At 36.8% G+C, this 14,064-nt stretch overlaps 1 protein-coding gene across 2 annotated transcripts in view; it reads right to left on the bottom strand.

Moving 5' to 3' along the window:
- ZC3H12C (zinc finger CCCH-type containing 12C) overlaps positions 1-14,064 on the bottom strand; it is a 78,450-nt gene that overhangs the window by 18,205 nt on the left and 46,181 nt on the right. For both annotated transcript variants that reach the window (NM_033390.2, NM_001411037.1), the window contains exon 3: positions 579-718. In NM_033390.2, coding sequence (NP_203748.1) covers positions 579-718 — 140 coding nt within the window. The remainder of the gene's footprint in view (positions 1-578; positions 719-14,064) is intronic.

Genomic DNA, 14,064 nt, shown 5'->3' with positions numbered 1-14,064 from the left:
TGTGACTTCTGGCATCTCTCTAAAGGTCAGAATTTCACAAAATTTGAAGTCAGAGTTTCCACAAAAGTAAAGAAAAAAAAAAAGCTGGCTTATGTAGTGATGATTAATGTTTAATTAATAAAACCAGATAGTTTTCAAACTCAAAAACTGGACAGGCATGGTAGCTCATGCCTGTAATCCCAGCACTTTGGGAGGCCGAGGTGGGCAGATCAGTTGAGGTCAGGAGTTCGAGACCAGCCTGGCCAACAGGGTGAAATCCTGTCTCTACTAAAAATACAAAAATAAGCTGCGTGTGGTGGCACACGCCTGTAATCCCAGCTACTCGGCAGGCTGAGGCACGAGAAGTGCTTGAACCTGGGAGGCGGAGGTTGCAGTGAGCCAAGATCGTACCACTGCACCCCAGCCTGGGTGACAGTGGGAGACTCTATCTCAGAAAACAACAACAACAAAAAACAACGTTTGTGTCCCACTGCCTGCGCTGAGCAAGTGAAATGGATTTAGGATACCTGACAGTGTCAGACACCTGCATGGTTATTATAGGAAAGCTAGGTACAAGCAGCCGCCTGGAATAAGCCTACCTGTAATGAGAGCATCAGGTCGGGATTGCTCTTTCCTCCAAGCAGGAACAAAAACTGTAATGTCTTTGTGGCCTCTTTCCAAAAACCAATCCACTGCCAATTTTATTCCTCTGCAGGAAAATACTTCTTTGTTTCCATGGCTGAAAGATTATTACGGAACACTTAAAACACAACAAAACCTAAATTTAAGTAAATTAATTCAAGTTTATAAACAGAAAGTATTACATAGTTACAACAGTAATAAGAGACGTCAGAGTTAAAATGGAGTTTATAGATCAGAGACACATCGAGATAACTAAGTTGAAAATCAAGATCTGTGAGGAAAAACAGAAAAGAAAATTGGGATGATTATTTTCCAGAGAAGAAACAAAAGTGAGTTTTCAAAGGTAAAGCTCTAAAGGTTAACTAGTCAGAAAGACACAAGCTGTTTTTGATCAGAATAAAGAAAACAGAAAGGGCTTCCTTCAACCACAGCAAGAAGAATTTCAGTCAAATGTCAAGAACTCATACAGAAAAAAAAAAATCTGTAAAAACAGTGAAACTGAATACTTATGAGTTTCTAAAAACTTTTCTTTCTCAAAAGTTCTTAGTGTATATTTCAATACTCAATGACTGAATACTGCACAAACTTTATCAGGTGACCAATGTAAAACAACATACTATACACTCACTGAAAGGAAAAACATGTTCACAATGCTTAATCTCATAGAAGAAACACTTTGCATATAATGCAGTGAAAAGACACCTAGTTTCTGTTCAACTATATCGTGTTGGACAAGGATTAATGATGACAAAAGGGCATTCAAAATTGGATTAGCAGCCTTAGTGCCTAAAAGAAAATGCCCAACTAACAGTGTAGTCATTCAGTAAGTGTTTATCTAGCACCAGGCTCTGCTTGTACACTTTAACCTAATAATTCAAAAATGATACCCATCCCAATGTTTTTGAAGAAAAAGTCTCCCATTTTGAATGCAATAATTATGTTCTTTTATAATGTGAGGGCTCCATTTGTTATCTATAACGGAGATATTTTTTCTTCTTAGGATGAAGGAGGGCTGAATGAAATATTGAAGGTAAATGCTTTATTAACTTTTAGCATAAACTAAACTTTAGGCATATTAATATTTTGTTCTAGGGTTCCCTGGGAAACCCTAGAACCATCTAACATATGGCTAATCATTTTTAGTAAAAAACAGAAATAGACTGACTTGCTTTGTAGATGTCGAAGGCTCCAAATACAAACAAGAGAAAATACATGGTTCCATAGTCCTGTCCTAATGGTCCAGGGCATGATTAGATGGGAAATCAGATGCACCAGAGTTTCAGAAAATGGGATAAGGAAAGGGAGATTTTGAGGTAATTTTCTAGGTAAGAAGGGTGACCCGATAGCCTGGTGAATGCACCATCAAAAGGTACAAAGTGATATTAGGTTTCATGGAAAATAATGAAATACTGAAATCAGTCTTCTGAAAAACTGTAGAAAATGGTATCTCTAGAGAGAACACATGTACCAAGTATTCCTAGATGCAAAAAGTCAGCTTGCTAAAACCTCACTAAAATTTTACTTTGCATTAATGCTTTGAAATCTATTGCATTATGTCTATCGCCATACCACCCTGAATGCACTGGATCTTGTCTGAAATCTATTGTATTAAGCTTTGCTAGTAAACTAATGATACTTGGTTTACTGAGAGTTGAGCATTTAATTGCTTCTGGCTCTAACGACAGGCCTGCATAAACATTTCTTCCTGGTAATTTCATTTGGTAAGGATAACTGTCACATTTACTCACTCTAGAAATAGAAAATTCTATCTCCTAAATAATTAAATAACTTTTACTTTCATAAAATGAGTGCAAACAGCAAACCATTTACAATTATGGGATAAAGATTCCATAGATGATAAAACAGGATACTGTACTATGCAATTCTGATCATAAAGGTTGTTTCATTATCCTCCCTCTCCACAAAGACTCACAGGGAAAAAACAAGAATGAAGATGAAAAACGGCATGTCGTTAATGGTAAATATCTCCATCTTGTTGAAAAAAATATAATCCTCCATGTGTTTAGGAATCTGTGGTCAAGTTTTCTGTTATTTGCAGCCGAAAACATCCCTAATTGCTATGCTAGGCACAGCTCTATGAATACCCAGAAAAAGAATATATTTTATGGCAAAAACCATTATTAGGAGCAGAAAAGTTATTATGTAACAGTTAATAGGAAGCTATAGTCATTCTAAACTCATCTCCAAATTAGTAACACAAAAGATCACAGTATTACTAGAAGAAATGAAAAAAATCCACAACCATACTAATTGACAGAAGAAGAAAACATTTAATAAGGATATAGATAACTGGAATAATCAATTACAAGCTTGATCTAATGGACATATACAAATTTTGCACAAAACTAAAGAGAAAAAATTATTTCAAAAAATATGAAAACTTTATAAATAAATTGGCTATGTACTAGGTCATAGAACAGATTTCAACAGATATCAGGAATCTGTACCATACATACAATACACTCTTTCACCACAATATGTTATTACATTGCAGATATAATGTCCTTGTTAAAAAATTAGTGTTGCTATAGCAGCAAAACCAATTTACAATTTTAATTTAAAAGATCCAATTTGTAATGTAATAAAAGCCATACAGATCTTTAAAAAAAGGCATGCAAGAGCTTTATAGATAAAATGAAATTGAAAACCTATATTAAAGGGCATAAGGTAAGACTTAAATAAAAAAACAATATACTATTTTTATGGACAGTAAGACTCGATTAATAAAGATGGCAAATGATTTCAAATTCATCTGTATGTTGCAATTCCAATCAAATTCTCCAAAGGTTTTTTTCACAGAACTTGAGAAACTAATCTTAAAATTAACATGGAAAAACCAAAGGCCAGCAATAAGGTGACATTACAAATCAATGAGGAAAAGATGAACTATTTAGCAAATGGTACTAGGGCAACTGGTTATTCCTGTGGAAAAAATAAAACTGCATTTTAATCTCACATCATATACAAAAATAAATTGTTGATAGATCAAATATTTAAATATGAAAAGAAAAATTATAAAAGTTTTAGAATAAATTACCAGAGAATTCACATCAGGATAAGAAAACACTTCTTAAACAAGACATAGAACTACATGCTATTAAGAAAAATAGACATATTGGAGCACATGAAAGTTCTTTATACAAAAGACTCCATAATAAAAAAACAGGTCATAGCTTTGGAGAGGAGATTTGCAACATATAATACCAATCAGAAGGTTAGTACTCAGAACATAAAGTACTCTCGTATATTAAAAGAGGTAGCCAGTTGTTTTTTAAGGCAAAAGATATGAACAATCAATTCACAGAAGAGGAAACTCAAATGACCAATGAACATAGGAAAAGATGTTCAATAGTAAAGAAATGCAAATTAAAGCCAAAATGAGACACTACTTCACACCCATCAGATTGATAAAAATAAAGTCTGCAAACACCAGATGTTGCCAAGAATGTGTGAAAGTAGGAACTCATACATCACAGGTGGGAGTGTAAATTGGTATAACTATTTGGGAGAGCAATTTGGCAATACTTCCATAAAGCGGAAGGCGTACTTTCTCTAAAATACAGTAGCTCTGCATCCAGGTACAGTAAAACCCCACAGGAACTCGAAATTAGATTCAATACAATTGGCAACTGCCTTTCATCCTCCTCCCAGCCTTAGATGGCACTTGGGGGCAAGCTACTGTTCTTATCTTTTAAACGGCGAGGGAAAGGCAGGTTAGTGGGGATGAGCAGGGTGGGTCCCCGAGTTACCAGGACTTTCCCAGCCAATATTCCCCTGATGAGGCCCCAAAATGAATGCTAACTGAGAAATCTCTAGAATCGCTGCTGTTGTCTTGGAAGTCTGTGTCAGGCATCAAGATCCAGAATCATTCATAGTATAATAACTTAAGCCTGAGCAGACAGTTACCTGGTGGCTCAAATCTGCAGATGGGACTTGTCACACTAGGAGAGGTTTTGGGAGACTGAACTTAATCTAACCTTACTGACGCATGATGAAGGATGTGACTCATCATACGTGCTAGATACAATATAAGGGACAACTAGAGGAGGTACTGATAAAGAATTACAAAATCAGAGTGAGCCAGATAAAGAATGATGAAAAACAGGATGTCAGAGTAAGTGCCATGTAGCTACTGATGCAAATGAACTATCTGTTGACTATTTACTAAAAAAAGGACCATAGCTTTAATTGCTTATAAATAGAGAACATTCACCATAGCTCTATAGCCACTTATGGGCTATCTGCATGGATGCAGGGGTTTTCTGCTCAGTAACAAAATTAGTTAATTCTATTTTTATGAATTAGCATGTTCCTTTGGGCCTTGATTACTTTTTTATCCCAACAATTTGGCAATAAGGAAGATTGGTATATCTCAAGTGAGTCCTTTTGGTGGGTGAATTTGTTGGAGGATTTGTGGTCACCCGTGATTAGGTCAGAACTCTGAATGTTTGCCAAAAAGTCTCCCTCTGACTACTTTGGCTGAGTGGGATTTGGTTCCCAGGGAAAATTCCAAAGCCTCTCTGTAAATTCCAAGTTACAACTGAGCAAAATGGGTAACTCATTGAAGGTCCCATCTGATTCATCACTGGCTTTAGCAGTAGAAAAATACGAGATGCCTAGAATATTGTCAGTAGGTCTCTCTTTTAAAAATAAAAGGCTTCTTTTATTCTCTCACATTTGGCATAAGCATACTTATAAAAATCCTGCTTTGCAACGGTCAAAAGAAGGCTCATTTGAAGTAGACAAATTGATGTATTTACAGGAATTCTCAGAAAAACCCCACTCAAAGGGATTATTGGTATCTCTGGATCTCAGGAAATAAAAGAAGGAATGAAGTGGGCAGCCACAAAGAATGAATTAAGAAACTGGAGGAAGAGATAAAGTAACTGAAAGCTCCTTTCTCTTCTTCCAGGTTCTTGACCTCTTTCTGCTGTTGCTCCTTCTGCTTTTTCTGCTTCTTGTTGCCCTTCTTTGCCTCTATCTAGGTCCTAGAAGAGTGGGGCAATGACCTTCTGGATGGATGGATGATTCCCAATGGCTACAGGTTCTGGAGATAACTTCCCTTTGGAAGGGGGAAAATTGCTAGCCTTATTAGAATATTCTAATGTGGATTCCATTCTCCAAAACTTCCCTAAACAGAACATGCAAAACACAGCTACGGAGGCAGAAATGATGAAGAAGAAGGAACAAGGAGTCTGAGAACCTGGATAACAGACTGTCCTAGAATTAAGGTATTAGGTTGGCAAATGGTTGCGTTGGTAACTTAGATGAAAGGGGAGGCAAAAGGAGTAAGGATACCAAACAGCAAAATGAGACTGACACTACAGTGTCATACAAACCAACTTATTGTTTCTTTTCTTTTCTTTTTTTTTTTTAATTTTACTTTAAATTCTGGGATACATGGGCTGAAATGTGCAGGTTTGTTACATAGGTATACATGTGCCATGGTGGTGTGCTGCACCTATCAACCCATCACCTCAGTTTTAAGCCCCGCGAGCATTAGGTATTTGTCCTAATGCTCTCCCTCCCCTTCCCTCCGACCCCCTGACAGGCCCCGGTGTGTGATATTCCCCTCCCTGTAGTCATGTGTTCTCATTGAGTCAACTTATTTTTTCATCTCAATGGAAGAAAATCAGCCCTACCCTTTAGTAGCTCCGGTGACTCAAATGCCTTTTTAAAGTGATCCAGGACTGCCAGGTACATCAGACATGGTAGGAGTGCATATGACCTTTTCCCCAGCTGATGGTACCCATCTTAAAGAGTTATTTCCCAGTGCTCTGAAAAGATCTGGAAACATTTGCCGAGGTGCTCTGTGGCACACTGGCTGCTGCATGGAGTTGCTCTGGCCGACTGTGTTTGACTAATGGAACAGGCACGGTGGAGGCAAATGATAACCCCTCTTGTAAGGGAGTGCCCTGGCCTCAGGAAGCTGACTGCCTCCTCAAACAAGAGGAGACTACCTCCTCTCATGCCTTAGAAACCCACCGCGAGGTGACCTGGGAGAAGCTGCAATGCTGCTGTTGGGTGAGTCTCCATTGATTTTCATCAGTGGCTGACTGAGGCATTTTCTAAATTAACAAGGATGGATTTAAAGGTAGATCAGAATAGACCCTTATTCTTCTCTACTTTTATGGCAGCCTTGCTACTGGGAATTCAGGCGTAGGTAAAAGAAAAGGTATGTGGATGGTAAGGATAGACAAGTTTCTCAGGTATTGGCAATAGCAATCCAGTTTTGGAAAAAAAAATGTAGAAAGATAAAGACAAAGAAACTTAAGACTGCAGTGTTACCTTCCCAGTTGGAATTGTTCACAAGGGGAGCAAACCCCTTTCTGGGACTACCAACAAATAAGAGAAGATCCTCTAATGAAAAGTCAATAGGTCACTACTATAGGAAGCTAGGACATTGGAAAAAGGGATGCTGGAAGAGACTGAGGAAGATGCAAGAGATGCAACCCAACTATGAAGCTTTACTACCCCCTCCAGAGATTTCTCCCCTCGGGAAATCAGACAGGAAATAACGCTGCAACTAGGAGCAAAAGTGACATAATGGGAGAGCCTCAGTGCTGGAAATGGGACAACCTGATCTGTTTGCTTGTTTTTCCTGCCTTAATCTTTTCCTGCTCTGTCTTGTGGAGACTAGAGCCATGAATTCTGCAGTTTCTGTTCATCTTTCTTGTTTTAGCCTGACCCGTTAAAACAAGTTACGGGGCCGGGCGCGACGGCTCATGCCTGTAATTCTAGCACCTTGGGAGGCTGAGGCGGGCGGATCATGAGGTCAGGAGATCAAGACCACCCTGGCTAACACGGTGAAGCCCTGTCTCTACTAAAAATACAAAAACAATTAGCCGGGCGTGGTGGCGGGCACCTGTGGTCCCAGCTACTCAGGAGGCTGAGGCAGGAGAATGGCATGAACCCGGGAGGCGGAGCTTGCAGTGAGCCGAGATCGCGCCACAGCACTCCAGCCTGGGCGACAGAGCAAGACTCCGTCTCAAAAACAAAACAAAACTAAACTAAACCAACAAGTTATGGGTTTCTCTCAACCGTCTTCTACCTTTTCTTTTTCGTCTGAGATTCCCGAGCCAATAGGTCCTGTGTTCGAAGAACATGCCTCTCTCTTGTTTCTTACTGCTGTTAATTTGTTGTGAAGGGACCTGCTGTGTAACCTAAGAGCCATCATATTCTGTACGCTGGGTATTTGGAAGATTCTAGGAGACAGGGCACTTGAGCTGGTGAGTATGTGCTTGTTTATATCAAGAGAAAGTATGTGCTGGGGATCTTCCATGCTATGGGCCACATTTTGAAGAAGAGAGGCATCCTAACATCAGTGGCAGCTAAAATACCACATAGGATATGAGATGCTGATTTACTAGAGTCACTGCAACTCCCCCCCGCCCCCAATTTCTGTAATTTGTTGTAGAGCTCATATTGGATAATAAGATGAAATTAATCTGTAGACCAAGCTCTGAAAAGGACTACTACGCTTTGGATTGGGTTAATTGAAACCTCATTACCTCTATCCAAAAATGCCTACTCAGTTTCAGGTAAAAGGAACGCCTTATGAACTAGACAACTGGAAATTAGGAGAGCTAAATGAACTTAAATTATCTTAACAAACATATTCTTCATAAGGCTTTCACTATTATAATTTTTCATTTTTCTGTAAATTCACTTTGTCTCATAGCTCTAATAAGATTATCTTTACTCAAGACTAATATACTGGAAAAGCACATAAATTCTACTTTTCTGCCCTCAAGAGAAGGGCCTAAGAAGTCAAAATAATTTCTTGTATCCTATTACACCATATGAATTGCCACCGGAGAATTATGCTTGTTTATTAATGGCACTATATTAGCCACCTACAATGGTTAATAGATAATAGAGGTGGGTTTTGTAATGCAGAGAAAAATTCAAGGGACCACATATTGTAATGCAATGTGCCTCAGTCTGGGGCCTAGAAGGGAAGATGATGGGACAACCACTTTTAGATCTGCCATATCTAAAAAACCATAATGTTACATATTAATGTTTTCTTTAGGTATATATACAGATACCATTAACTAGGTTAACCACAGAACAGGAAGGGTTATTTTAGAATTATAACTGTTACCTTCCAATGATAGACACGGGGAGTAATTGAAAAACATGGAAAAACCTAAAAAGAGAATGAAGGCATCTATAAAAAGAGACTGCCTCTTTTTAATACTTTATATGGCAGTGAAGAAAAGAACAAAGGAACCTCTTTTCAGTTATCTTTTTATTTCCTCAAATTTGATTTTACTACAATTTGCATATTATATAATGCTTGTTAAAAACCTTGGAAATTACAGGTGATCTTTATTTCTAAAACTTATATAATACGTATATTATTTACATGATCAAAGAAGACCTATTCTTAAAAAGTCTTTTTCACAAATCATCTAAAATCTAATGATACAAAGTACCTAGAATGGCACATTTCAGTACTCCAAATAGAGATGGCTCTTGAAGATACCGAAAATAACATAGCCTCTGGAATTTGACAGGAGTTTAAATTTTTTCTTTACCACTTTTCTGTGTGAGCTTGGGATTCTTATTCTGAATCTCAATTTCTCATCTTTAAAATGAAAATAACCTCACCTACCTCATAGCGTTGTGAGAACTGAATAAGGTAATAAACCTAGCCAAGTGCGTGGCATATCGAAGTCTTCGACACATGCTAGTGTCTTTACTTTCTCATGTCCTCTCAGTCTTAATATTTAGAAAATGGAAAAAAGCTTGTTTTGGAATCAAAATGAAACCAATAAAATACATCTTTATTTAATAGCTTTAATCTCACAATACTAAACTATGACTTTTAGAGCAAAATGCATGATGTGTAGAGATCACTAAACAGTGTTTTAAAAAGAAACCAAACAAAAGATCAAGGTAATTATGGGATTCAAAAGGACATGCACTGATTTTCTATAACCTTCTATATATCATCTTTTATTTAAATTAAAAACTTGACCTGTAAGTTTGCTATATTCTAAGATGTACTTGCATAAGATACCCTCCACTAGAAAAATAAGTATGATTATAAAACTTCTATTACTTTAATGGGTAATTAGATTAACCTACCTATCGTGATAAGGACACAAGTTAGCAGGGTTTGTCAATGAAGTGGCTAGAATGGAAATATAAAGGTATCTTTTTAGGCTGGGCACGGTGGCTCACGCCTGTAATCCTGGCACTTGTGGGAGGCTTAGGTGGGAGGACTGCTTGAGCCCAGGAGTTCAACCAGCCTGGACAACATAGCAAGACCCCGTCTTTATACATATATACACATACACATATACAAATACATATACGTGTGTGTGTTTTTAAAAATAATCTTTTTAAACTAGAAAATCATACTTGAATCTTTAGTATCAAAATCCTTCCAGTTTAGATATAGTTAATTATATTAGAGAAAGAGTATAGTAGATTTTAATCACAGAATAATTATAATATTAATAAATATTTATAGAACATTAAATTATTAATATAAAGTCCAGGTACTCTTCAAATATTTGGTGAATTAATTTTATTTTTTTCTCATATTTTAGGCCTGATTATACATAAACCATCTTGGACACATGAAAATAGATTTTAATTTTAAAGGACTCTAAAAAAAATGACTTTAAGACCTTCTTCACTGATATATTTTTCAATGTTTAATGATTGTTAAATTCTCTTACATCTATTCCGTAGTCCTTAAGCAGGGGGAAGAAGTGCAGCTGCCTCTCATCTTCAATAGGAAAATACAGAAACGTAGAAACAGGATATTTTACTTTCTCTCATTGTAGTCCAATTAAATTTCATATTTATTTGAGAATCTATAATTCATCTCATGGGGATCTGGAGTTTTTTCTTTTGTATTGAAGGCTCATAACTATTTATGCATGCCTATTTTGTTATTCTTATAGCTACTCAACGTTATTGTCTCTGATCTCTTTTCCAATATACCAAAATCATTCTGAAGCTAAATCTCATTCACAGGATGCTAAATACTAAACATACCACCAGAAAACTAAATCCATGTCCCTTGTTATAGATCATTTAAATCAATGCTTATCAAGCTGTGTTCCAAACAGAAATTCCATGGCATGGCAGGACCTTCTGGGGAGTAGAGAAGGGAATTTTTAAGTGGGAACACAACCCTGTACATCCTTCCCAATTCAAACAGAACTCTGCTATTGCTTGATTTTAAATATTGGGCTTCCATGAAGAGATCTGCAGGATTGTACTGCTTTAAAGGAAAATAGAAGCCTGGAAGTCATCGATTTAGGACAACAAAAATATTTAACACCAAAATTACTATGGAAGTCCATTATGCAGTAATTATTACCCTTCAGTTGGTTATGAGCTCAACAGCAGTACAGTTGAGAGGGGTAGCTTTGAGAATTGAAAGGGCCAAGGAAAAAGGAAAGGAAAAAAGATTTCCTTCGCCATATAAGGTCTACAATTTGAGGCAACATCTAGCTGGTCAAGATCCAGTCTAAAGATAATGAAGAAAATCTGTTTAGTAGATGTAAAAAGGTCTTATTAACAAAAGTAGAAAACATGGACTCTAATCACTTTTTCCCCATTTTGTATAACTGGTAACACTAGTTAGGTGAAGATCTGTGATTAACTTTATTTCTATGTAATAGGATTACTAAGGTTGCCAATTTTTAGGTTAGAGTTTAAATAAGCACACTTGAGATAATAGGAAAGTTTGCTGACTGGTCTATTAAAGTACATGACATTGATGACAACTAGAATTATGTACTTAGAATTATAAAGAGGTGCAATGGAATATAACTCTAATATCTGTCTTTGTCAGGCTCCACAATGATATAATTAAACAATAACAAAAAGCTAGCTCTGATTCTTTGATTCTTTTCATAGGCTCTAAGGATTTTCTTTAAAAACAGTAAGAGAAATGGGGCACTGCCAAATGAAGTAATACCTGTGACACTCACCTAGAGGGAATTTAAGCTATCCTTTAATGAATGTTACTTCTAGTAAACTGGGGCTTACAAAACAGTCTACTGAGAGGCTATTCAATAGAAATATAATGTGAGTCACATATATAGTTTTAAATCATCTGGCATACCATATTAAAAAAGTAAAAAGCAGCTGAAGTTAATTTTAGTATGTATTTCATTTAACTCAATATATCAAATTCTTTAAATCCACAATCAACATAAAAGTTATTCAAATAGTTTACATATTTTTGTACGAAGTCTCCGAAATGTGATATGTAGTTTATATTTACAGCATATCTCAATTTGGGCTAGACACATTTCATGCAGGTCTACTGCACGTAATTTTGATACAGTTTTGTTGAGAGAGCCAAAAACAAATTTGTATGAATTCCGGCAATTTTTAGTCTCATTTGTAGTCTAAACCATACATTTGGACTAGGTGTCCAGGATGATTTTATTAACTATAAGTCAGTGCTGTACTTAAATGATAACCAGGCAACAGGAGAGCAAAACCAACCAAACAATTGAAGGCAAATTTTAGAGCCTAGGCAAGAAAGCCTTCAGTATTCAAATTTATATTAAAAAGGGTTCTCAAGTTCATACAGCTTCCCAAAGATTAGATATAAGAAAGGCTTTGTACTTTTTAAAAGATTAATCAGAAGCTTAAATCCTGATTGTACAGATTGCTAAACTCTGCTTGTATTTCATAAATATATGGGCTTAGTTCATTTTCTTGATACAGAGGAAAGTTATCACAGCTTAATGCATTTTCCCTGTTCATATTCTGACTCTATATAATCTATATCTGATTTCTGTTCAAACTTTAAGAAAATTACTTCAGTGATTTACCTGCAGTGCTTTTTTTAATACCCCAGTTACAATCAGATGTGTACTAACACCAGCTGTTTTCCAATATGACTCTTTGCGGGGCTGAGTATAAACTCTCAAGCAAATGGTTACTTTATTTCTCTATTCTGTGTCATTTGATTGGTATATAAAACCAATGATATTCTTGTTGCATCTTTTTCCAGGAGTTGTCCACAATTTAACTTTTGCATATATTTTCAAACATAAGTGGGTCTCTTTGTCTCCAATCTTAGTGCTCAAATCCATTCTCTACATTTCCCTATAGAGTGATTTTTCCTAAAGGCAAAATATTACTATGCCACTTTTTTCCTTGCTTAAATTCTTCTAGTAGCTCCGTATCACTAACAGAGAGAAAATACGAGCATGGATCCCATGGGCAAAAGTGGTTCATGTGAGATTATTAGCCAACAAAACATTTATCTTAATACTCCACACGAACATGCAAAAATAAGGCCTACCCACCAGTCAGGGGAGAGATTTAATCTAATCCCAGAAACCTGGGTTCACTACCCAAAAGGTAGGACTTGCCATGATAAAGGAGGGAAAAGTTTCAACAGTCTGTTCATATCAAAAACACAAGACTGGTGTGGCCAGCTTCCATTCTAACACTCAACAGAAGAATGTGTGCTATGGCATGATGTGGAGGTAGCCATGAAGCTCTGGGCTTTTTCTTTCATCATTCTTATTTTATATAAAATCTGGAAGAAGCTGAAATGGGATATGGAGATTTAGTTAATTTTAATGAAGTCAGATGACTAGGTCATGGAAGAATATTGAAGAACTCAAACACTTTTAGGTACCAAAGGGGACTAACATCAATTTATCACATTCCCACTCTGGATAGCTCGCTAGAATTTGTTGTTGTTGTTATTTTTGAGATGGGGTCTCTGTTGCCCAGGCTGGAGTGCAGTGATGTGATCTCAGCTCATTGCAGCCTCCACCTTCCAGGCTCGTTCCATCCTCCCACCTCAGCCTCCCATGTAGGCATGCACCACCATATCCAGCTCATTTTTGTATTTTTAGTAGAGATGGGATTTTGCCATGTTGCCCAGGCTGGTCTTGAACTCCTGGCCTTAAGTGATCCACCTGCCTTGGCCTCCCAAAGTGCTGGGATTACAGGCATGAGCCACTGTGCCCGGCCTTAATTGTATTTTCTTAACGACAAGTCATCTGAACCTAAAACCAGGGAAAAATCTAGAAAGCATTGGATTCATTTAAGAAAATATATCATGCCACTGCACTCCAGCCTGAGTGACAAAGCGAGACTCAGTCTCAAAAAAAAAAAAAAAAAGAAAATATATGAATTTAAACTAGAGGGTACATGTGGATAGAGACTAATTCTATATTCTACAAAAGTAGAATGCTAGAAAATGTATTTTTAAATAACTCCTCTGGTAATTCTGGTATACAGGCATGGTTGTAGGTATTCCTCAGGGATCTATGACCTTCCTTCACTATTCCCTCGTTTGGCAATTTTATGGCTTTTGGTCTTAATATCACTAAGGTAATCATTCAGACATTCTGGATTATTCAAGAAAAAGATTATTTTGTGGTCAAGTTTGGGAAAGATCAAACAAGAGGTAATCTT

This window comes from Homo sapiens, chromosome 11 (assembly GCF_000001405.40).
Source record: "Homo sapiens chromosome 11, GRCh38.p14 Primary Assembly".
In the NCBI taxonomy this organism is placed as follows: domain Eukaryota; kingdom Metazoa; phylum Chordata; class Mammalia; order Primates; family Hominidae; genus Homo; species Homo sapiens.
Note: the sequence above shows the minus strand (reverse complement) of the source record. Positions and strands in the feature narration are given on the sequence as shown.